Source organism: Homo sapiens, chromosome X (assembly GCF_000001405.40).
Source record: "Homo sapiens chromosome X, GRCh38.p14 Primary Assembly".
Taxonomy (NCBI): domain Eukaryota; kingdom Metazoa; phylum Chordata; class Mammalia; order Primates; family Hominidae; genus Homo; species Homo sapiens.
Window position 1 is genome coordinate 112,825,734 of NC_000023.11, and position 24,221 is coordinate 112,849,954.

Here is a 24,221-nt window from a genome sequence, read left to right on the forward strand (position 1 = left end):
ACCTTCTTTTCAACCAAGTCATTAAGTATTTATTGTGTATCAACTATTCCACACATTTGTCAGCCTCATACTAGACACAATAAGGGCTACAAAGACACATAAAATATAATTCCTGCCCTCATGGAGCTTACACTCTGATCATCTGATCAATGGTCCATCCATTCTTGGAGTAGGAAAGTAGACTGCCCTTCCCAACACAGAGCGCAACCCTTCTCCAAGCAGAAGATGCCTCCACTTGCTTTCTTGGCACTTCCACTGCCCCAGTGTCTCAGTAAAAAAAACTCATAGACTTACATTATATAGACTGGATGCAAATGAATAATAGACCTGGATTTGAGATAGTCCTTATGTCTAATTTCTGCCTGGACTCTCTGCAAAGCCTTGTCAGCCTAATCAAAATGATTCTAAGACTCAGGAGTTTAAGTGACATGCACATGAACCACATTCCTATCTTCTATCCTGGCCTATGTATGATTCATTCATATCACTTAAAGGAAAGGCTTAATCCACACCAGTGACTCCATGAGAGGAGGAAAGCAATGCAAAAGAAGTACACAAACATCTCTGTATTTTGAGAGCATGTTCAAAACATTCAAGTTTTTAAAAACTCCACAAAACCACAAAGTGATTAATTTAACATTATTTCCTTGCAATGTTGCCAAAAATAAAGTGAACAGATATAGAGTGAACAAACACGGAAATGTGTCTTTCCATCTTGTTTTGGCACAACATATAATCATGATCAAAAGCAAAATCATCTCAAATCTGCAAGGTAATTATTTTAGGGTATCTCCCCTAATTTTGAAGCAGAGGAACAACTTCTAATTGGAATCAAAGCTGGACTGTTAACAGAGCTATGGTACATAACCACCGTGCTTCTATTGTCCAATTCTGAACAAAACACTCATCCTTTTTTTTCCAACTGAAACACCAGAAAACAGCCCAAGGCTTTTAAACGCGAGTCCCTGGAGAGAAACTACCATATGATTTTTTTCCAGTACTACTTAGATTCTTCATGCTGATATTACTGACTTTCTCCTGATACTCAGCTCTTCATTGAGAAAACTTTTCTCGTGCAAGGTCTTACTCTCTTCTCTCAATTCTGTCCTCTGTATCCTTTTCTTATTTATTTATCTATTTTTGAGATGGAGTCTTGCTCTGTCACCCAGGCTGGAGTGCAGTGGTGGGATCTCGGCTCACTGCAACCTCTGCCTCCCAGGTTCAAGTGATTCTCCTGCCTCAGCCTCCCATGTAGCCAGGATTACAGGCACGTGTCACCATGCCTGGCTGATTTTCATATTTTTAGTAGAGACAGGGTTTTGCCATGTTGGCCAGGCTGGTCTTGAACTCCTGACCTCAGGGATCTGCCTGCCTCGGTCTCCCAAGGTGTTGGGATTACAGGCGTGAGCCACCACGCTAGGCCCCTCCATATCCTTTTCAAAACCCAAATCACTTTATGTTAACTGGACACAGATCGTTCCCCTACCCTCTCACCCTCCTCCTGCCATCTTTGTCTCTTGTTTAAAAAAGAAATCAGCCTAAGAAAAAAGCTTTGCAGAGTCCTCTCCAGTTTACTATTTTTTTCTTAAAGAACTTATGTTCATCTACATGTCAAGAGTCACATAATGAGGAAAACACTACTCCATTTATTTGAGAAAGGAAAGGAAAAGACTCCTTGTTTCATGCACAAGAACTAAAACAGTATGAACACTATAACCTTTAATCTCCCTGTAGCTTTAATCATGCCACTGCCAGGGGTCTGACATCATCTTCAATCAATAAAATAACCTTGTTTGTCCTGGGCACACAGACTGTCTCTGAGAATATTTGATAGGAAAAAAAGAATAATTGCGGTTCTGTCTTTAAAAATGCAATTTGAATCTATATAATCAACTCTTCTGTAACAACAACAGGGAAGCAAGGCCAAGCTAAATTCTTACTCCATTTGCAGTCATTGGCCTCTCCCAATACACCTGTGAGGTTGAGCCAAAACACATTAATGTTTCCCAAGACAAGTCCCAGAAAATCAACATTACAAGGTGGTCAGGACAGACCAAACTCCCACCCTTCAAATAAATTTTGCAATATGCCTATAAGATCTTCTTTCTATCCCCTCTTCTAAACCCTCCCACATTCTGCCCCTACCTCTCATTCTACCAACCAGGATAAAGAATCTAAGTCTAAGAAAGCTGTTTCTCTGCTAAATCTTGGTCAACTTGTTTCATCCAATTTGACTCCCAGATAAATGGAAGGGGGCCAGTTCAAAGTTTTCCCTGTACCTATGTGTATGTATTTGTGCAAACACACACACACACATAACCTCTCACAAAAAGTGAGGCCCCAGTAAATTCTTATGTTCTCTCAGGTTGGTCCATATTGTAGCCAAAGTACCCTAGAGAATAACTTTCCCAACAGTCTTGCAACCCAAGATACCAATTCACTTCATTTAGGATGTGAAAAACAATGGTCCTTTTGCAGGTTATCTCAATGGATAGGCATCATAAACACCGTGGCACAGAGTCTGGGCCTAGAGTCACACTGCCCAAGTTTAAATCCTGGATGTATGGCTTACTAACAGACCTTGTACATGTCTCTTGATCTCCCAAGTCTCAATTTCATCATCTGCAAAATAGGGATAATGGTGTTCATACTAGATAGGGTTGTTATAAAGATTAAGGGAATTAATCCATGTAAAGTGCTAAGCATGGAGCCTGGCACATAGTAAGGCCTCAATAAAAGTAAGCTATTACTATAATTGTTATTTCAAAGTAGCCTTTTTTTTTTTTAGAAGTGTACAGCAATTTTATGAAGAAAGGTTGTTTTTTTGAAAAACAAAAACAAAAAAACTTTATTTGCAACTCAGTCTACTACACAGGGGTCCTTAGATCATTGAAAGCCAGAACTGGAAAGGGAGACCACCTAGTGGTCCCACCCTCTTCTTGTATAGATGAAGATGCCAGGGCCTCAAAGGGTAAGAGAGAGCCAGGACCAAAATGAAAGTTTTTATAACGCCTAGGGCAAGAGCCCTTCCACTACAACATATTATCTAGCATTATTTGCTTGTACAAAGGAGATGCTTAATAACTATTTATTACATAGAATTGACCCTGATTTTAAAAGACTATAAACCTGCTTTAACGCTACCACTGATTTTCCAGTTCCATTGGAAGTAAAATGTTAATGGAAGGAAGGAAAATTCAAGGCAGTAAGGGGGAAGTGTTTAGCTAGAAGTACTACTATAGAAAGGCTTTGCAAATTCGCTTTTTAGGCTAAGATGTGAGGTGGATTGAACAGCAACATGAACCTCCACAGATGGATGTTTCCAGGCCCCCTGTTCCAGGTCTGTTCAATATCATACCAGCTTGGCATTTGCTCTTACCTAACTCTAGCACTAGTTCAAGAAAAGGCTTAAGAGAAGAGTCAGCCCCAACTCTTCTTTGTTCCTATCTCTACCTCTATGATATAGTTTGGATGTGTGTCCCTGCCCAAATCTCATGTTGAATTGTGAGGTTTGGTGGGAGGTGATTGGATCATGGGGGCAGATCTTCTTGGTGCTGTTCTGATAGTGAGTTCTCATGAGATCTGGTTGTTTAAAAATGTGTGGCATCTTCCCCCGTTGTCTCTTGCTCTCGCTTTTGCCATGTGATGTGCCTGCTCCCCCATCGCCTTCTGCCATGATTGCAAGCTTCCTGAGGCCCCCGCCCCAAAGCCAAGTAGATGTTCGCACCATGCTTCCCATAAAGCCTGCAGAACTGTGAGCCCATTAAAACTCTTTTCTTTATAAATTACCCTGTCTCCGGTACTTCTTTATAGCAATGCAAGGACAGCTTAATACACTCTATTGCAAACATCACAATTATTTTTGAACACCCTATTAGATTAGGTTGAAAAATTATTTTAAGAACCACAGCAAGGCCTTGGCATTTCCAAATCTTACTGAGGATCAGTGTGAGAGATCCGTTTCTGGGATGGTAACTCAAGGTCTTGGTCGTTTTTGGTCCCAGTTTGACTTTGCTTTGCTCTGAAGCAATTACCTTAAACATGTTTATAGGCAACAAAGGTGATCAACCCTGAAGTGGATGTGAGCAGTGACATACTGGGTAGCAAGGAGAATCCTGTTGCCACCTCCCTCTATCTCCCAGCACACACATCCATTCCAAAAGAGGAGTAGACCACACCATCACATCCCCTTCTTTATTATCTCGAGAAAAGTATAAAGAGTCCCTGTAATTAGATGGAGCCTAAAATGAGAAAAGTTTAAGAATATACCTAGAAGCTGCCTGCTTGACCAATCTTTAACCGCCAATGCCAGACCACCCATTTTCATATCTACTTATATTTTATTTTACAAGTAATATAAGCACAGCATGCATTTATTTTTAATAAAGAAAAAAATCACTTATAATCCAAGCACCTCAACTTAAGCACTGTTAACATTATATTTCCTTTAGTTTTCCTATGTGTATTTGGGTTTTTACAAGCAATGAATTATTAATAAGATGTAATTTTGGATCCTGCATTTCACCTCACCATAAATACTTTTTCCATGTTGTGGCATAACTTCATAACATCGTAATGGCTGCATAATAGTGCATTAAACAAGTGTATCAGCATTCACTTACCCATTCTTCAATTATTAAGACATGTAAATTGCTTCCAATTTTATGCTAATCTAAATAATGTTACAAAAACATCTTTGTGATTTAACCTTTTTCAATATTGTAGATTGTTTCTTCATGATAGAATCCCAGAAGTGAAACTGATGGGTCAAGAAGCATAAATGTTTTTAGACAACCCACTAAAAAATAAAATTAGCAAAACACCAGAGTCCCATGAAATCCCTCCCTCATTTAATGAAAAATTCTCCCGCTCTCATTTTTCCACCAGGGCAGAGCAGGGCTCCTGGGAGGGAAAGAAGCCAAGAGAAGCAGTGTAGTATCCCAGTGGCTTGCGAAATGGCAGAGTGGAATGCGGGCTCCCCTGTGAATCCAGCTTGCATGCACTTGCCCCAAATTGCCACCCAGCCAAGAAGCTAATTAGTAAAAGCATCAGGTGGGTGAAAACAGGTTCATGGCCTGTAATAGCTTATATCATCTTTCATTTTTGCCCTTGGAAAGATCTGACAGTCAGCTTGAAGACATTCAGTTCTTGTGACCCAACCTGCTTACATTCTGAGAATTGAATTTGTCAGTTTTTAGATCCCAATCTTCAATATATCTTAAGGGACATTTTGCTGTATAGAACTAAGCAGGCATGATCAATGAGCCTGTGTGTGTAGCTCTATTTTCAGCCTCAGTTAAGGTGGCACATTTAAGGTCAGCCCTGTTTAATACTAGATGACTAAGTGACACCTGTCTTAAATGGTCAATGTATTATAGACAGAGGTTGATTTGCAGACCTGACCATAAAAATCATCCGGTCCTAAAGCAGGGGAGGCAATAGGTCAGAGATGCCCCTGGTTTAACAACAGTGGACACAACAGGCATTCCTTCCGTGACTTCTTAGCCAGAACTCTCAAAATAAGGCAGTTCTGCTGTCCATCTTCTCTTTGAAGATTTTTCCCTAATCCCTCTCCATCTATTCCTGACCTCAACTCTGCTCAACATGGAAAATGAATTCTCTATGATGACACTTATCACAGCAAATTTTCCATAAACTTTTACTGAGCACTTACTGTAGCCAGACATTGTGCTAGGTAAGGCCTAGGGTGGCAATAAATAAATAAATAAATAAATAAATAAATAAATAAATAAATAAAAAGAGAGCCCAGTACTTGAGGAGCTCCCAGTCAGGCAGAGGAGGCCCAATTCAACGGGAAAACAGAGGTATGAGCTAATAGCTCCGGCAACACATAGGGCTCTGCAAAAAACCCTGGGCTACCTGAAAAAGCTCCCAAGAGGAGGAAAATATCAAAAACCTATAAGCTGAGTAGAAGACATGGAGTGTGATGACCAATTTGACATCAAAGATAGGTTGAGATATATCTTTGGGAGTCATTAGCATATGGATGACAGCTAAGGTCATAAGAGAGGGCTGGACCATATTGACTAGGAACAGAACAGAACCCAGGATGAAACTAAACATGGACTTCTGGGGAAAAAAAAAAAAAGATCATTCAAGGGTTAGGTACTTTGCAAATGTGGGAGGGAAAGAAATTCCTTTATTTATCCCGATGGCCTTTCCTCCCATATATCTCCAAGCTAGACCTTGCAATACACAGCTCCAGGGACAGAAATCCCCAGCTGTAGTGTGGAGAGAAAAAAAGAAGTTAACTCTCACCTTTTAAGCTTCTGAGTGCCCTGGTAGCAATCACTATTACGGGTTGAGCCAGAAATGGAAAGGGAAGTTGCTAGACTGTAAGATCTTAGAGGGCATGGGCGGGGTGCGTGATTTTTCATTGTATGCATCCCAATACCTAAAACATTAACTGGTACATAAAATGTGCTTAATAGTTGCATACTGAGTGAATGATAACTTCCCCAAAACTTTGCTAGAGGCCACAGCAGGAGAAGAAAACAAAGAAAGACATGGAATAACAATAATAATAATGTTATTATTACCTTTAGTTTCTCAGCCTTCCTTCTAAGGAGACAAAAGCTCTTTCACTCTGCTATCTTATTTGTCCTTCTTAGCAGCTCTGTGGGGAAATAAAGGCAGATGTGATTAATTCCATTTTAGAACTGGAGAGGGAAGCTCAAGTCCAGAACAGATAGCTAATCATAACTAATTGGACCAGAATTTCACTGTTGCCCATTGGTAGGGCCAGCATTGGAACCCAGGTCTTGCGACTTCCTGCCCTGTGCTTGGTTCTAAGACATAACCCTCCACAGAATTGCCCCTCCAGTTTTTAAGAGGACAGTTCACAAGAGAAATTCATTAGGAAAGCAAACTCCTGAAACACTCTAACAGTATCTTGAGCAAGTGAGTGAGCTGCATCTAAAAGAAAGTAATCTGTTTCCCCACGCCAACACTGGGATGACTAAACCCAGTTCCCAGTGGGGCTCTACTAACATAATTGAGAGCTCCCTGTTTCGCTGTGCCCCTTTTCAAGGGAGCCCCATCTGCCTTCAGTCTGGTTTTTGTGTCTGAGTGGGGCTCAGGTGCTGACTGCAGGTGTGGCATCCAGCAGGTGTATGGACAGGAGCCAGCATTTCATATCTTCATACCAAAGGGCCTGAGTCACTCTCTGAAGGCAGAAGGCAGCCCCTCCTCCTCCTGCTGTTGCCTTGCAAGCACAGGGAACCTGCCTTGCCTGAGGTGCCACTGCAGAACTGAATCTAAACCCTGCCTTCCCAAGAAGGACTAAGGTGAGATTAAACCACAAATCATATAACCCAGCTAACTTTCTTATTTGCACAAACTACTGCAGGCATACACCTACACCGTGGGCACAGCATATGGGAACCTAGGTACAGAATGACCGTCACCTAAAGTGATGCGGGGAAAGGAGGGCCACAACTGGCCCATATTTTACATTTGGCTATAAAGCATTGACTCTACTGCAAATGGCCCTAAAATCTCAGAAGCAAGTACTCACCCCCCTAAAAAAAGGTGGAGTACAGTAAAAAGAACCTGCTAGAAATCTTGCACTCCTGTTCTCACCATAACCTCTTTCCTTCAGGCTTCCAAGGGAGAACCACTTAGCCTGGTCACAGAAAGCACCAGGTCAGAAAATTCATCATGTTCCCCTAACCAAAGCCCAACTGGTCCCAGCCTGAGGCAGACAGAATGTTCCTGGGAGTAAAGGGGGGGGGGGGGTCATCAAAATTTTCTTAGCTTCAAAAACTGTTTGCTTTTTAAAAAAACAATCTGCCTCCCCTACTCTCTCTCTCAGGCACACACACATAGACCAAAGAGAAACTAATTGTAGAAGAAAAAAATGAAATCTTACCTTAATAAAATGGTTTGTTGTCATTTGTTCTATTTCCCTAATTCATACGGGAAATTCAAATAAGCTTTGGTTTATAGCCCATGATCCAGAAAGCAAAACTGGCTACCACACTAAAATGTGATCATTGTATATAAACATAGTAAAACAAAACTCTGAACTGAAAATCTAAATGTAATAAAGAGGAATTAGGTTTCTTCAAAACAGGCAATCTAAATAATTTTCCCCATCTGTGATTTTTATCTTAGTTTGCTATCACATGGAACAAATGTCACTAATTCAATGCAAATACATGCCCCTTGAAAACAACCAAAATGAGTAAGGGATGTACTAATTAGCTTCCTAATGGGGAAGGTTTTAATTGAGCTATTCTTTAACAATCTTCATCAAAGTTTCCAGGGCAACTTCATAAAAGGATGTCAAACCTGGCCCATATTTTTATTCCCTTAAAAATAATTTTCAATACACAGAAACACAGAAAGCTGATTTCTCTTCAATGCTGTTAACACTCAGGCCACTACATTTTCTGATGTCAGCAATCCCCTTCCCACAAATATTCCAAGTATGCACCACCGTCATTCTCCTTTCAATTATGTGGTTTCTCTGCTCCTTTACTGATTGAGTCCAGGCCTCTCGGATAATGAGAAGCATGTGCAGGGAAAATATGCTCTTAAAAAACACATACATCAGTTTTATCTGCATTATAAAGAGGAGAGCAGATCGTTTGTCCATATCAAAAAGATTGAAATGTGAAGTTTGCTATGGGGTATATATAAGGGGAAAAAAAGATCAGTATCAATGCCTAAGGTTGATAGGGGGGCGGCACAGTTATTGTGATCTGATGTGACACCAATAAGAAGAAGGGAGACTCTCCACCAAATCCACCCTTTCTAGCTTGGCCACATTTATATTTCATGTTATCTTAATGTTTCTTTTGGGGGTATTTAAGTTCTGACATACACATGGAAATGAGCCACGAATTGTACAGCAAGCATAAATATTCCATCATTAATAAAATCCAGCTGTGTATAAAACACTACAATGGCTGGGTTTCAGTTACTGGCTATCATCAGTATGTGTCACAAGCAAATATTACTGAAAACTTTCTCCCTTAAAACGTGCATGCGCACACACACAGAAGTTTGCTTTATTCTTTTTCATCTTTTGGAGGAGCTTTGAATAACTCACTGATCTCTATAGCCCTTTTCAACTAACGTTTCTTTTTGAAGCTATTTTTCACCACCCTGTAAGATGCTAGAGTCCTCTTATTTGTACCTCAACTTACCACACAGTACAAAACTGTTTAATTTTTTTTCCAAAAAGCCGAGAGGGCCAATAATACAAATGTTGGGTTAATGGTAATTACAGTCAGTAAGGCAATGGGGCACCAAAGGGCACTGTATGTTATAAGAGAGCAAAGCTCATTAAAAAGGAACACCTGCTCAAGACCCTATAATAAGCCTGCTCTGCCATCATGCAAACACCTTTCATCCAATGACCTCAAAGCATGTGCCCAATATGAAGCATGCCGAAACACCTCTGTGATTATTAATATCCTTGCTTCCCAGAAGGGTAACTGAAGCTTAGAGCAGCTAATTCATTTACCCTTGGTCACATGGTAAGACAGAGAGGGGCTGGGCAGAGAAAACCAGATCCTGGCTTCAAGTCACACAGGCTAATGATATTTCATGGAGTTAGGGCAAGAGTGAAAGTGCCTTTACAAATGTCAAGGCAAGCCCACAGACTTAAAAGAGTAGATTTTCAAGAATTGCCTTAGGAAACATTGGCAAATACACCCATTTGCATTTTCTCCAGGATCATATATTACAAAAAAAAAAAAGTTCCTGTTCCTCATTTGCTACTTTCTAAATACTAAAAACCCATACCACACTTTCTATTCCAGTTAGAGAAATTTAATCTAATTTATGATGAGCCACTGGTTTCCAGGAATGAATCCATCAAATCTTTTTTTTTTTTTTTTGAGACGGAGTTTTGCTCTTGTTGCCCAGGCTGGAGTGCAATGGCGTGATCTTGGCTTACTGCAACCTCCGCCTCCCAGGTTCAAGCAATTTATTCCTCAGTTTCCTGAGTAGCTGGGATTACAGGCATGCGCCACCATACCCAGGTAATTCTGTATTTTTAGTAGAGACAGGGGTTTCACCATGTTGGTCAGGCTGGTCTTGAACTCCTGACCTTAGGTGATCCGCCCGCCTCTGCCTCCCAAATCGCTGGGATTACAGGTGTGAGCTACCATGCCTGGCTAATCCATCAAATCTTAGAGATCACATGTATACCACACCTTTGTTATCAAAGGAAAATTAAAGAACTATGAAATTTGACTACATGGTGAAGACCTCAGATGAAGAACCCATTATGTGTGGGCCATTCTGCTGCTGCACTTCTTGTCTTTTATTTAACTGTCTAAAATCCTTAGTTTCTTTGCTATCTTTTAGTCTAATTTAAACATATTATTTTCCATGCTACAAAACAAGTATATTTGTGCTTTCCTGCTTCTCCTTTCTCATTCTGGAGATTTCATATTCCACTCAAATTTATACTCACTTGATGGGATTTCACCATACAGTGACTTAAAAATCATTGCCAATGATTTACACAAAGTAAACAGTGGACCCTAGTTTTGTTGTTGTTGTTGTTAACAAGAATGGGGGAGGGATAACAGGAGGTCAAAGGAATTAAATTAACAGCCTTGCTAGATACATGAACAACTCCTGAATCACAGAGAGTGTTTAGGGATTACTTATTATATCCATTAGCCTCTCCTGGCATTTGAGAAACAAAATATATGGGAGTCTTCATGTGTCCTCGGTCAGATTCTGACTTAGTTCCTCCACATGGGTTCACAAAGTTAAGTCTTGGGTGGGCTCTTATTGAAAAGCAACATTGTATATATCTGTGGCTCCAATTATCTAAAACTCATGTTAGTACAGGAACCAGGACTTGAAAGGAACTAGAAAAAATGAAAGCAGGTGATCTCTTAGGATGATGGAATTCTTGAAGTTTTGGACAGAGTCTTAGCTTCTTAATTTTGGGTTGTTAAAATGTAAAACATAATGCATCTATATTCATATATCCTTACAGGATCTTTTTTTCTTTAACATGATGACTAGATGATTGAATTTCTAACAACTGTTGCACTTCATTCTAGTAGCAATCATTCACATTCATACTAGATATTGAGGCCTAGAAAGAAAACCATAAACGTATAAGAACTGGCTCTCAAAATTACCCTGTCCAAACCCATAATTTACAGTGGAAAAAAAAAAACTTAACAGAGGTAGTAAACCGAGTTACAGTTGGGCCTAGAGCCCAGGTCCTTCTCACCAATAGGCTCACTAGGAAATCTTATTGCAGATTCTTAGGTTAAAGTGGCATCAGTCGCCATTATTTACTAGAAATAACTTTCTGGATCCCTGGGTTAGTCAAATACAGTAGCTGGAAATAAAACATTTTACCTATATGGGGTGGATAGTCTCATCCTTAGAATTGTTCAAAATCTATAAAGTCTGATTTATTTTCAAAAAGTAATACTAGCTTTCTTCTGCAAGCAGTTGTAGGCCAGAGCTAACGTGGCCAGCATTATTACAAGCCAGAATGATTTAGACAATTAACTAACTCCATTCCATATAACAAAAAGATTTCAAAGGCCAAATAATGGCCTCACTTAATTTAAGCGATAATCATTACAAATTCTTATGTATTCCTTTATGCAATAAATATGCTTCCGAGAAGGCCCAGTTAGAGTGAATTTTTATATATCAAGTCATAGTTTAAAGGCACTAACTAGGAAAGCTAGTACTTACAAAGAAAACCTGTTGTGGATTCTTTTATAAAGCAAATGACCTCCTATTTTCTTTCTTTCTTTTTCTTTTTCTTTTTTTTTGTTCAGATTGTGTGTGTTGTGTGTGGAAGGGGCGACTTCCCTCCTTTCTCTGGGTTAAAAGGGGTCAGAAGCCCACCATGGAGGAGAGTAATGCAGTATGGCCAGCCTGTTTAATACCCCCTTAGTTCCTGGGACAAAATTCTAACCTTTGACTTGGGGGTGGAACCCTAGAATTTGGACCAAAGTCCACAAAAGGCAGCAAGGAGGGAAAAGTAAGTAAGACTAAAGACAACACATCATAGTAAAACACCAACAAAAATTCCTGGGGACAGGAAATCAATGGATCACAATTCTAAACAAATTGGTTTAGTCCCCAGCTAATTAACTTGTCAAGCAGATCACTAAACCTACTGAATCCATGGGAGAAAGAGATGATGTAATAGGAGATTTGGAAACATTTACCCATTTACCATCCTAAAAGGCTCCAGTACGACCACACACACCTCTCCCCACCCCTTTCAGTGTTTAAGCTGGGCTTAATGGGTGCAAAGGACAATTTCTACCAGACAGTCCCCAAGAATAGACTGTTCTCATGCATTCCAAATGCTCAGTCTCCATGGAGGAGGCTACCTGGTCACAAGCATTTCCCAAGAGGGAATATATCCTCTATTCCTCCTCATTGGTAACAACTCCCCCACTCCACCCCCACGCCCCAAACAAAACAAAACAACTTCTAACCATCCTGAGAACTTCAGGGGACTTTTCTGGGGTAAAGGAAAAGAAGCGTTAAGAGGGGAACAGGAAAGTGTGAGAAACCCCTCTTGTCTCCAAATGGAAAAAAAGGCCTTAAAAAGCTGGATCAAAGGAAGAAAGGGGGATGGGGAAGAAGGGCCGCTTAATTACAAAGACACCCTTTTAAAGAAGGCGCAGGCCCTGGGAGAGGGCTCTTGGGAGAGGCACAGAAGCAGATGTACCCACTTAGAATTCTGGCACTCAATGGGACCTCAAGGTCATAGTATCCATCCCCCTGCCTTCTGATTAGGCTATTCTTAAAGCATTCTAGAGTCTGATGCAGTCTTTACAAAACCTCAGAAAGAAAAAGCAACTCTACAAATGTCCTTGTTGGGAATTAGTCTAATAAATCAAACTTCATAAACCAGAAATGAAATTTTAATTTCCAAATCCAAAACTGCATTGACTATGAATTATTAAAATTCCCTTTCTAAAATCTTTTAAATAGGTAAACAGATCCACAAATTTCATGTAAAAGTGACTCCACATACAATTGTGGTCAGAGGTTTACTTCACATCTAGACTGTGAAGGTAGAAAAAGCACTTACAATTTTACAAAGCCACGAACTTTTCCAAGGAAAGAAGTAATTTAAAATGAAGTATGATGTAGTGCCAGAAAGTGTCTGTCAATGACGCCGGATAAACCCATACAGAATAGTTGGAACCTTAGTTATCATCTGTAAATAGAGGCAACTACTCTACAACCACCTGGCTGTTAAAATGTCCCAGGCCAGTTATAAAATGTAGTTTGGTCAGGCCAGCTTTTCCCTCCCAGCTGATCTGAAACAGGATAGCCTTTAAAATTGTCGCCCTTCTCTACCTTCCTACTTTCCTTTCACTCATTAAAATCAACCAAAGTTATTTTAAAATGTATGTTAATAATGTGTTCCCAAATAAGCAATGGGTTAAGGACATCTCAGTAATAAGTCTTTGAACACCATCACTTACAGGCTTGACGCACTTGTCCAATTGAAGATAGGTGGGAGATGGATGAAAATGTATACCACATCCAAAATGGCATTTCAAACTATTCTTAGCTACTAAATGAGGGTGCTGAAAGGTCTAACTGAGAAGGCTTCACAAAGGCTGGCCTGAGAAAGAACTTTTCACAAAGCCTAGCTCAAGGAGACTTAAATATCCTTAGCCCTTCATCATTGAAGATTATGGTGACTAATTATCTTCTTCTCTGAATGGGAGAAGAGGGTTATATTCATAAAAGTTTTAAACTGCCTCCCAACGTCCACTCTTCATGGCGGGGAGGGAGGAGAACTTCATGCACTAAACATCCCAGGTTGTTGAAAAGTTCGTTCTAAAACATACACTAGAGATTGAAAATGCTGTTTCTCACCAACTTTCTCTTTCCTTGCTCATTTAATTCTACTTAGTCCCTTTATGCAAATTATTATATTATTATTAGTGGCAATCTACCAGGAACTGCTCACAGTCTATTAAAGACTGTTATTTTCCCTCCCCCTTTTCTTTCTCTTCATTTTCACAAACCCATGAAGCCCATCTTACTGTTGAAGCACCAATGTGCAGTGGCCCAGGCTTGGACCCTCAAGACACCCTCAAGATCCCCCAAAACTATTTACTAACATCTTTGGATCTTCTAAAGCAGATAGGGGCAACTCCCTCCTCACCACCACTATCACTACCACCACAAGCACTACCACCACCACCACACATCTCAAAGAGTAGCCTTGTTTTAGATTACACAGACTTTAAAACTTCAAGAATTCACGGTCCTACCCCTCCTGCTCCCGCCTCAGGGAGTGTGAGTCCCCACCCCAAGCCTAAGCACTTAGCAGAAACCTATCTAGTTATCTGAGATAAGCACTGACATGCATGCTGGGCTAAATGTAGATTTCAGCTTCCCTCGGGTCTTTAGCTCCTCAATGTGATTAATTACCTAGAGACCCACAAGAACCCCAGGAGGTAAAGAAGTAAAAGTACCATCTAGTAGTGGTACCCACTAGCATCTCCTCACCGAAGTAGGACGGGAAAGCAGCGCACACTCTAACCGATTTAACTTGCTGCACATCCAAAAAAACTCATGGCGAGCTGCAAAGAAAGTAGAACACACGGGCATTCCCACACGCGCCTAGATCGATTCACTCACGCCGAGGGCACGACCAAGTTCATGCCACCATGGATTCCTGCCCCAGTTCCCCGCGAAAAGTAACCACGCGTCTCCTACCCCTGAAGGCAAAGAAGACAAGGTGACGACTCTCTGCTCGCTCAAGTGGCTTCGGTCCCGGGCCAGCGGCCAGGGATGGGCAGGGGGGAAGCCCCAACTCCCGGCTGCTCCCCTCCTCGCTGCTCCGTCCGGGCTCTCCTTGGTGGCAGCGGACAGGCAGGATACCGGGCCAGAGGGTGGAGCAGCGGATAGCCGGAGGCGAGACTGACTGGAGGTGGTGGTAGTTGAGGGGGAGGCGGAGAGAACTAAGAGAAGAGGAGGCGAAAGAGAGCGGAGATGGAGGAGTAATTCAGGGGGTCTACCAGTTTAGGCAGCCAGAAAGCTCCTCGGAAGGAAGGGGCGTGACTGCCAAGGCAGCTCCTGGGCAAAGGATGGGAGGTAGGGGAGGGGGACGAACGGGTGGCTTTTCTTCTTGCGGTGAGCGGCTAGGACCGCCCCGGAGCAGGGCGGCGGGAGGGGTGGACGAGGGAGGAAGGCGGAGTAGAGGGCGGGGAAAGAAGGGCGGGAGCCTGCCTGGACCCTGGAAGTGAGGAGTGAGGGGAGCGCGGAAGAGAGGCGGGGCCGGGGGGCGTGGAAGTTTCAAACAATTGAACCGCGGGGTCCGGGAGCTCGGGCGAAAGCAAGGGACCCTCGCTCTCGCCTTCCCACTAGAGGGGCACGACTCGGTTGCCGTAGCCGTGAGAGTCTGCGCGGGGACTGGCTGGGAAGAAGGAAAGGGTTTTGCAAAAGACTACAATAATAATCTGCGGCAACAGCGCGGCATAGACGCGTGGGAGAGCCAGTGCAGCTCCCCGCCCCACTGCGGGAGGAAGAAAAACAAATAATAGAAATGCTGAAAAGCAGCTTCCACCAAAGCCTGCTTAAAATAATGCAGGAAGGAGAAGCGCTCCTTCGTTTTCCTTCCCCTCTTGCTTCCTATTACCAGCAGGCCCCCACCCAGGTCACAGCTCTGCGAGACACCCTCCTTTCTTCCTCCGCTCCCCCGCCCCGGGCGCTTGCCCCCCTCCCGTTGGCGGGCCGCAGAAGCTGAGGGGCGAGGGAGGAGGGGTCGCGGGCGGCGCTCCGCGGAGGCTCCGCCCCTGGGCGGGCTGGGAGCGCCGGCCTGGGCGGAGCGCGTCCCTGAAGCGTAAGTCCCGCCCACCATTCTTTTGCAGCTACCGGTTGGCCCAGCCTGGCCTAGTATACGCTTGCGATTGGGCCCTGGAGTCGCCAGTCTGATCCCTTTGTCCCACCCGCCCTCAAAATTAATAAAACTAAACAAGAGGCTATTGTGTAGTTCTATGTTCTACCCCAGCTACTGCTGGCAAGAGAAAGATGAGACGCTTTATTTCTCAGTCTCATAAAAGAGTGCAACAGTGTGTCGGCCGACTCTGGTACGCCTTTATGTTTATGGCACTGTCCAGCTTTCTGCGAATAGGTAACTTTTCTTCCCCCTTAGTTTATTAAATCAGGAGGGGGGAAAGTACATGAAGTGTCATTGTGGTGTTCTGCTGACTGTGAAAAAAGCTGACATTGGTTAAAAACGAGAGGGTTGAGAACAGCATCCTGGGACACGGAAAATCTACCATTTTACATCTAGAAAAACGAAGGCACAAAGAAACAGTGTCAGGGTAGCAAAATAACATGGAATTTGGAACCAAAGGAAGAATTCATTTGGGGCCCTGGCACTTACTAGCTAATTGTATGACTTCTGTTAAGTGGCTTAACTTCTCAGCCTTAATTTTTCTACCTGTAAGTAAATGCTGTAAGACATGCCCTATTAACTTAAAGGCACTGGTATGAAAATAAAATGTGTGTGAAAACTATAAAGCACTCCACACATGTATGTGTTCCTACTTGTGTGTGAAACATAATGGAGAGTCTTAGATGTGTTAGAGGATCAATATTTTGCTCATCTGTTTTAAGCATTTACATCCAAGGTCGTGTAGGTTTTGTGGCTTTATTTTAAAAAGTCAACTCTTTTCCTACAATTTTGGGGGTGGATATGAAGTTGACTCCCTGCAGTTAGAATAATAAATTACCCCTTTTCTAAGCAGGGTGGGTGAGATTTCTTTTTTAAAGTTCTACAATTTCATGACAACTTAAAGCTATTGTGGTTCTGGTACTGAAAGAGGAAATCATGCTGTGTATCTCCGAAGTGAACTTAAGAAAACAAATATGAAGGAACATTTACCATGGAAACCACCATTCTCTACAGATCCATATTTCCTAGAAAACATTTCAAGTAGGAAGCAAGCCTAAATGTAAACGCCTTGACAGCGCAAGGCCATTATAATGGCTCATGCCAATGAAAGAGTGACATCCAATTCAAGCCTGCCTAATGGGAGCCATCTGGGGGGCCATGGATCAAGGCATGCAAGAGGAAGTGTGCTTAAAGGAAACACTATCACACAGTAAACAGGGGCTCAGAATCCAACTCTGCAGGAAAAGTAGTGGACTATTGCATGTCATGGAGTGTGCAGCATGCTCTGCTAGGAGCTGTGGAAAGATTCAGAAGCAGGAGTGTGCACAAAATGATTCTCGTTATGATTCTGTTTATGTATGAAGTGAGGTTATTTGGGTGATTTTTCATGGAGAAAGTGAGTTTTTGAATGTTCAAAATATGGAGACACCTGGTTTGTGAAGCAAGGAAAGGTTATTTCAGCCTTGTTATTTGGAGTGGACAGGAGAGCTAGATGTGGGGGGGCGGGTATATGCTGCAGGACTACTACCAATCACAGAGGCAAAAGGATATTTGTTAAAATCAATGCTGTCCAAGTGAAAAAAGTTAAACATGCACATGGAAGAATTCAGATAAAACGGTACTGGGCTGGGCACGGTGGCTCACACCTGTAATCCCAGCACTTTGGGAGGCTGAGGCGGGTGGATCACTTGAGATCAGGTGTTCAAGACCAGCCTGATCAATATGGTGAAACCCCTTCTCTACTAAAAATACAAAAATTAGCTGCACGTGGTGGCATGCGCCTGTAGTAGCAGGTACTCGGGAGGCTGAGACAGGATAATTACTTGAACCTGGGAGGCGGAGGTTGCAGTGAGCTGAGATCAGCCACTGAGCTCCAGCTACTCGGGAGGCTGAGACAGGATAATTACTTGAACCTGGGAGGCGGAGGTTGCAGTGAGCTGAGATCGGCCACTGCGCTCCAGCCTGGGTGACAGAGCGAGACTCCGTCAAAAAAAAACCAAAAAACACCAAACAAAAAGGTACTGAAAGACTACAGTGAAAAGTTCTTCTCCACCACTCTGCTCCCATAGTCCCATTCTCTTTATGACTGTATGTCATCTTCCAAATAGATTATTTGCATATTCAAGCATGAGTGCATATTCCCTTTTTGTTCCTTACAAGTGGGATCATTAATCAAGGCACACCTTGCATTTGTTTACTCAACAATGTATTTGAAATATTCTTCCATCTCAGGATAACTATGTTTACCTTATTTATTTTATTATAACTCAATATTCTATTGCATAGCTGTGCCAAAATTCCTTTACTCATCCCCTTATTAAATGGGGATTTGGGAGACAGACACGGTGGTGGCACACGCCTATAGTTCCAACTACTAGGGAGGTTGAGGGAGGAGAATCCCTTGAGGCCAGGAGTTCAAGGTCAGCCTGGTCAACATAGCAAGACTCTATCTCTAAAAAAAATGGAAGCAAATTTGGGCTATTTCCCATCTTTTGCTACTACGGAAGATGCTATTTAAAAAAATCCTGGTAACAAAGGCCTGGTGGCTCATTTGTAGTATGCCTGCCCCTAGCCTTGAAGTTGCCTTCAAAACACTTTTCTAACATGCTTTCCTTTCCCCACAGCGACTTATACTGTGGAGCAATGGAATTGGAGCAATGGAAACCTCTAAAACACTTAATTCGTTTAACATCCGCTCCTCAAACCCTGCTTGGGCATTACTCTTCTCCAAATTTTGATGGAGTAGAGTTAGCAGAACTCTGAACTTAATGGTGAGTCAGGCTGTGTGTGAGTCATTTCTTAACCTGTGGCAAACAGCTTTTTGGTACTTCTGTTTAACCCAGGTCTTCCAAGCCTTCTATCCTGCCATGCAAGACTTCTTTGTTTTCACCCTGAAAACCTTTCAGTTTGTTTAAACCGAGTTTGGATTTAAAGCTGTGCATTGCCTGCACTACTTAAAAGAGAGGGGGAGGGGGAGGCCAACATCAACAAACATCGATTGAGCCGCTATTATAGACAAGACTGAAAAAACAAAGAGGCATGAGACTTAGCTCCTGCCTTCAAGGATATAAACATAAAAAGACAACTAACAAGCATGTGCTAAGTGCCAAATGAATGGTATTGACAGTAAAAGCTGTGGAAGTTAAGAGCAGAGAGTGAAAACTAGTTCCAGAGAGTTAGTTTATACAGCACACTGTGCCACACACATTTAACTAATCCCCACAGCATCCCTGTGTCTTCATATCCTGACTATAAAGTATAGAAAGCCCTCTGGGGGAGACCAGGAGAATTAACCACTAGCTGTAAAACACCTGTGTAAAGACACTGGGTTGCCTAGATACTACACATTAAAAACCTCCATATAACGATATGGAAAAAAGGAGGATCATTTTAAGCTCAGAAGTCAAGATTCCACATCCCAAACTACCTGTCCTATTTGGCCTTTATTTTTTTTTCTTAAAATACACCTTTATTGCACAATAAAAATCAATATCTGTGCTGTACAAAATAAAATCCATTAAAAAAATCAAATGTCTACCTTGAAAACATTACACAAAATGAAATAAGCCAGATACAAAAGGACAAATATTGTATGATTCCACTTACATGAGGGATCTAGAATGGATAAATTCATAGAGATAGAAAGTAGAGTAGTGGTGATCAGGGGCTGGAGGAAGAGGGAGTGGGAAGTTAGTGTTTAATAGTACAATTTCTGTTTGGGATGATGAAAAGGTTTGGAACTAGATAATGGTGATAGTTGTATAATATTTTGAATGTACTTAAAGCCACTGAATTGTACACTTAAAAATTGTTAAAATGGTAAATTTTGTTACGTATCTCTTACCACACACACACACACACACACAAACACACATGCACACACACAAAAGCTAATAACCCTTAGGCTTAGTGTCAGGAGACAATGCCAGTGATAGGGGTTGCAAGAAGGCAGAACCCATGTGAAAGGGGCAGCCTGATCACCACTACAGGGAAATGCAGGCCAATGTGACCACAGCTTCTGATTTTTCAAGAGAAACCAGAAGTCAAATGTTTTTAATATAAAATCTCCAGTGTTTCATGTTGCCAACTAATAAATGTCTTAATTAAAAAATCTTCCCTTTGTGTGCAATATTTTTGTCCAACGTACAGGAAAAGTAGGAAGGAGTGTATAGCTTATGGTCTATTCCCAATCCCTGGCCAGATTCTTCTTGAAGGAAAGATGATAAAACCATAGTGCTTTGCATTGAATGGCATTCTCCCCCACTTACCAAGTGAACCAGGAATATGGAATGTGCACATCTTCCTCTAGTTGCCTAGTGAACAACTAAATGATTTAAATGCATTTATGAACAAAAGCAGAGGCAAGCACGTATACGAGAAAAAATAAATCTTAAAGATTTATGTCTCTATACATAACTGTCCCCCTTAATTCCTCCAAAGACAAACGTTGAGAAACAGCCTTCTCCAGGACACCTCCAAAAGTCAGCCTCCTATTTATTCATAAGGACACACTAGCCCTGTACATGCAGAAGCCAGCTGATCAGAAAATAGCAGGTTTATCTGAACAGGAAAGGAACAAAGGGACACATATGCAATACACGACTTCAGTTAAATGCTCTTCCTTCTGGATTCCCTCCCTCCCCCCTTCCACCCTTCCCAACCACACACACACACACACACACAGCATGCACACACAGTCCAGACACAGGAAGTTTGAAGCCCGATCCATGTGTGGAAAACAGCAATGTGGGAATTCAGGAAACAACACCAGAACTGTGCTCCAAGGCCAAGACCTGCTCCAGCATTTGGGAGCCAAGTTGCTCCTGGGGTATTTGTGGGCCCCAGCATTTTGGAAGTAAATCGGCTGTAGAAAAATAAAGCTGCCTACAAGTCTATTCCCCAAACACCTCCTAAGGTCTTGTTTGAGTAACCTGGGCTCGCCTCTTTATGATTTATGCAGGGCTTCACTTCAGCTTAACTAAATACCATATCTCCTTCAGCAGCTTGAGTTTCTGGAAAGGCCCAGACTGTCCATACTTCTCAGTAGGGTTTATTTGCAAATTCCTAGGTTAGCCGGAGCAAGAGGGAAGCAGGGAGGCTGAGGAACGTACATCAGTCTGTACCCTGAAAGGTGGTGGGCTGAGAGGGAAAATATAATTTAGTCAATGGTAAAAAACAAACCTCTGAAAGCAAGTCAGAGGAAAATCAAATTCCTGAGCCAGTAAACACGTTAAATGTACAGAGTTAGCAGGATTTAGAGGAAGTTCATCCTCTGACATTACCCTTTGCAAATAAACTCTTGATTGATTCAGAGCTCTCTCTGTTTCTGTAGTTGCCAGAGTGTCTGAGAGTTGTTATCCCAGTTGGAGGAGAAGAAGGCTGTGACTGCAGTAGAGATTTATCTTCTCTGGCTCGCTGCCCCACTTTAGGAACTCCAGGGAGAAGGTAGGTCAATGCCATTCCAGTGTGATTTAAGGCAGGCCCACCTTGCAGGCCCAAATCAGCCTTCTCTTCAGGTCTGCCACTGTCCTGTGAAATTCACACAGGAAAGACCCTTGTTAAAGTGCAAATATTAACCTGGGAAGGGTTAAATAGTAAGCCATCCTTGGTGTGCTCTGTGGAAGGGGTATAGACTTTTGGAGTCACCCAAGCCTAGATTCAAGTCACAGCTCCACTACTTACCAATGAGGCAGATTCCTTAACCAGCCTGAACTGCCATTCCCTCATCTGTAAAATAGGGATAATAATTTTTCCACCATAAGGGTTTCTTTGATAATTAAATGAAATAACACATTTAGAGGTCCTATCATGATGTCTGGCATATAGTAGTCCCTTAACACAGTTTATTTCTTCATGCCCCTCCATTCATTCTTCTTAGGGCATTCAAGGGTGTAGGACAGTGGGTTTGCTTGGTGGCTTATAGAGCTTAAAAGCACCTAGCTGTAAGGCCCTCGCAATCACTCTTCTCTACTAAATCTGCTCCACAGGGCAGTGCGAGGCTAAGCTATGGGCTTCCGCACCAAAAGGACTTAGTTTCATAGTCTTCATTCTATTGCTCACTAGCTATGTGACTTCAGGCAAATTTTGAGTATCAGTTTCCTCATTTGTAAAATGACAGCATCTATGTCAGAGGATGGTTGTAAAGGTAAAATGACAGTTGTATACAAATATTAGCTGATATTATTACTTGTAATATTTTGTACAATGGACTGACCAAAGTTTACTTTTTTCTACCAGCAGTTTCTGATTTAAACCAGGGAATGGTTTTTTTTTTTTTTTGGACAGAGTTTCACTCTTGTTGCCCAAACTGGAGTGCAATAATGCAATCTCGGCTCACTGCAACCTCCACTTCCCAGGTTCAAGCAATTCTCCTGCCTTAGCCTCCCGAGTACCTGGGATTACAGGTGTGTGCCACCAAGCCTGGCTAATTTTTTGTATTTTTAGTAGAAACGGGGTTTCACTATGTTAGCCAGGCTGGTCTCGAACTCCTGACCTCAGGTGATCTGCCCGCCTCGGCCTCCCAGAATGCTGGGATTACAGGCGTGAGCCACCGCGCCAGGCCAGTGAATGGTTTTAGTAAGAGTGTTGAACACCCTTAAGCAAACAACAGTTATATGTCCCTGGCTTCCTGATCTTGGCTAGGGAATTTGGGGTGGTATGGGGCAGTCGTAGGCATCTCAGTTCTAGGTGTTGGACCTCCTGCCTCCAAGATTCTCACAGGGGTTTGGCAGGATGTAAGTGGAAAGACAGACTCCTGGGAGGTGCTGCTGCAGGAGATTGCGAGATAATAGAACATGTGCGCTGTGAGCATGGGCCTGGGAGACTCAGGCCTACCGCTCTTTTAATTCCACACTTTTCCCCTGCCTTAGAACCCTTGTGCACGCCACTCCTTCTGCATACCCCATCTTCGGCCCCACTCTCTTCCCACTCTTCGCCTCATGAATTCAATTCATTTCTCAGGCTTCAACTTAAATATCATCTTTTCAGGGAAGTATTCCCTGAGTGATAACTTACACTCCCTTCTCTTGTTTATCTTTAAACATTTATGTGAATTGTGCATTCTACATGATAAACTATATTGGAAGTGGTTTTAATATAAAATAATATTGAAAATATTTAATATGTAAATTATTTAACTTTGTTTCCCAGTCTAGAAAATTTCAGGTCCAGGAAGAAGCTTCATGCGTACCCTGCAGCTCTGTACACCCCCCGGCACCCCTTTCCTACCCCCTAAGGAATTCATAGTTTTTAGAATTATTCCTACACTAGGTGAGGGCATTGAACTAGATGATCTTCAGGGTTCCTTGCAACTGTTAACTGCTAACAGTTGTCAGAATGCTGACAAGTTTTCTGAATGCTGGAGTGGGAAGCTGTAGCTGCAGTGGCATCCTCCTGCCCCCCAGTTATTTGATCTTGGTGTAAAATGGGGAGTTTTGAAATATATCTAGGAAATGTGGGTGTGAATGCTTTAAGCAAAAGGTGGAGTGTTTATGTGGTACTAGCAAATGAGAAAGACAGTGCAGGCATGAGTGCTAGGGAGTAAAGTGTGACTGGCTGGCTCAATGCCTGTGATGGCAAACAGACAGTTCCAGATGACTTAACAGATGTTGTCACTTCCTGTTCTCCCATCAGAACTGTGAAGTAGGACTAGATTTACCAAAAGTGAGCCAAGTATAGTGGAAGAAACAAAGATTTTAAATCAAATAGAACTGGACTAAATTCCCCACATACAGCTGGTTGTGTGACCCTGTGTAAATCACTTAACTTCTCAAGTCTCAATTTTCTAATTGATTGGTCGAACAAATGTGTATTGTGCATCCACTATGTGTTAAACACTTTCTAAGCACTTGGGCACACATTGGTGAATAAAATAGGCAAAATTCCTGCCCTTATGGGACTTATGCTTTGGAGGGATATGGGAATAGTGGGTAGATATTTAAGATCTGTGATGATTCATGATATCCTTACAGTCCTGGAATTGGATAGGTACTCGATAAATACTGGCTGTTACTATTATTATATTTTAATAAAGCAATTACCGTCTGTTAAAACTCAGGTGAAACTGGGTAATTTCTGTGCAAGGGACAGTAAGTGGCTTGAAAAAAGTACTTGAGATTCTTGCAATATAGTAATAGCAGGTGGCTTGCACGGGTTTTTCCATTCTAAGTACCAGTACTTTTTTCTACTATAGTTTCCTTAGTAGCAATCCCTCCTGAGGTAAAATGTAGCCCAGGATGGCTCTGAACAGTAGGCTTAGTGTTTATTTGGATAAACTTTCCTGCTTCATTATCTCCAGGAGATCAAAGAGTATGCATCTGGA

General features: G+C 42.1%; 1 protein-coding gene and 1 long non-coding RNA gene across 7 annotated transcripts in view, besides 1 other annotated feature; one reads left to right on the forward strand and one right to left on the reverse strand.

Annotated features, from left to right (window-relative positions):
• The window catches only part of AMOT (angiomotin), a 65,955-nt gene extending 50,857 nt beyond the window's left edge, over window positions 1-15,098 (reverse strand). For 2 of the 6 annotated variants that reach the window (NM_133265.5, NM_001113490.2), the window contains exons 1-2: window positions 14,719-15,098; window positions 6,561-6,637 (exon numbers count right to left, since the gene is read on the reverse strand). The gene's annotated coding sequence lies outside the window, so the exon portion shown is untranslated. Of the gene's footprint in view, window positions 1-6,560; window positions 6,638-7,891; window positions 14,218-14,474 lie in introns of those variants that run through there. The other 4 variants (NM_001386998.1, XM_047441856.1, NM_001386999.1 and 1 more) reach the window with 4 other exon arrangements.
• Window positions 15,604-15,943: a silencer, noted in NCBI's record as "silent region_20945". NCBI's record gives its function as "represses an Ori minimal core promoter by ATAC-STARR-seq in GM12878 lymphoblastoid cells {active_cell/tissue: GM12878}" and the evidence as "EXISTENCE:reporter gene assay evidence [ECO:0000049][PMID:35858748]".
• Window positions 15,993-21,346, forward strand: LOC107985651 (uncharacterized). The gene is made up of 3 exons (XR_001755993.2): window positions 15,993-16,135; window positions 18,526-18,672; window positions 21,234-21,346. It is a non-coding gene; the product is annotated as an uncharacterized LOC107985651 (long non-coding RNA).
• The last annotated feature ends 2,875 nt before the right edge of the window (window positions 21,347-24,221 follow it).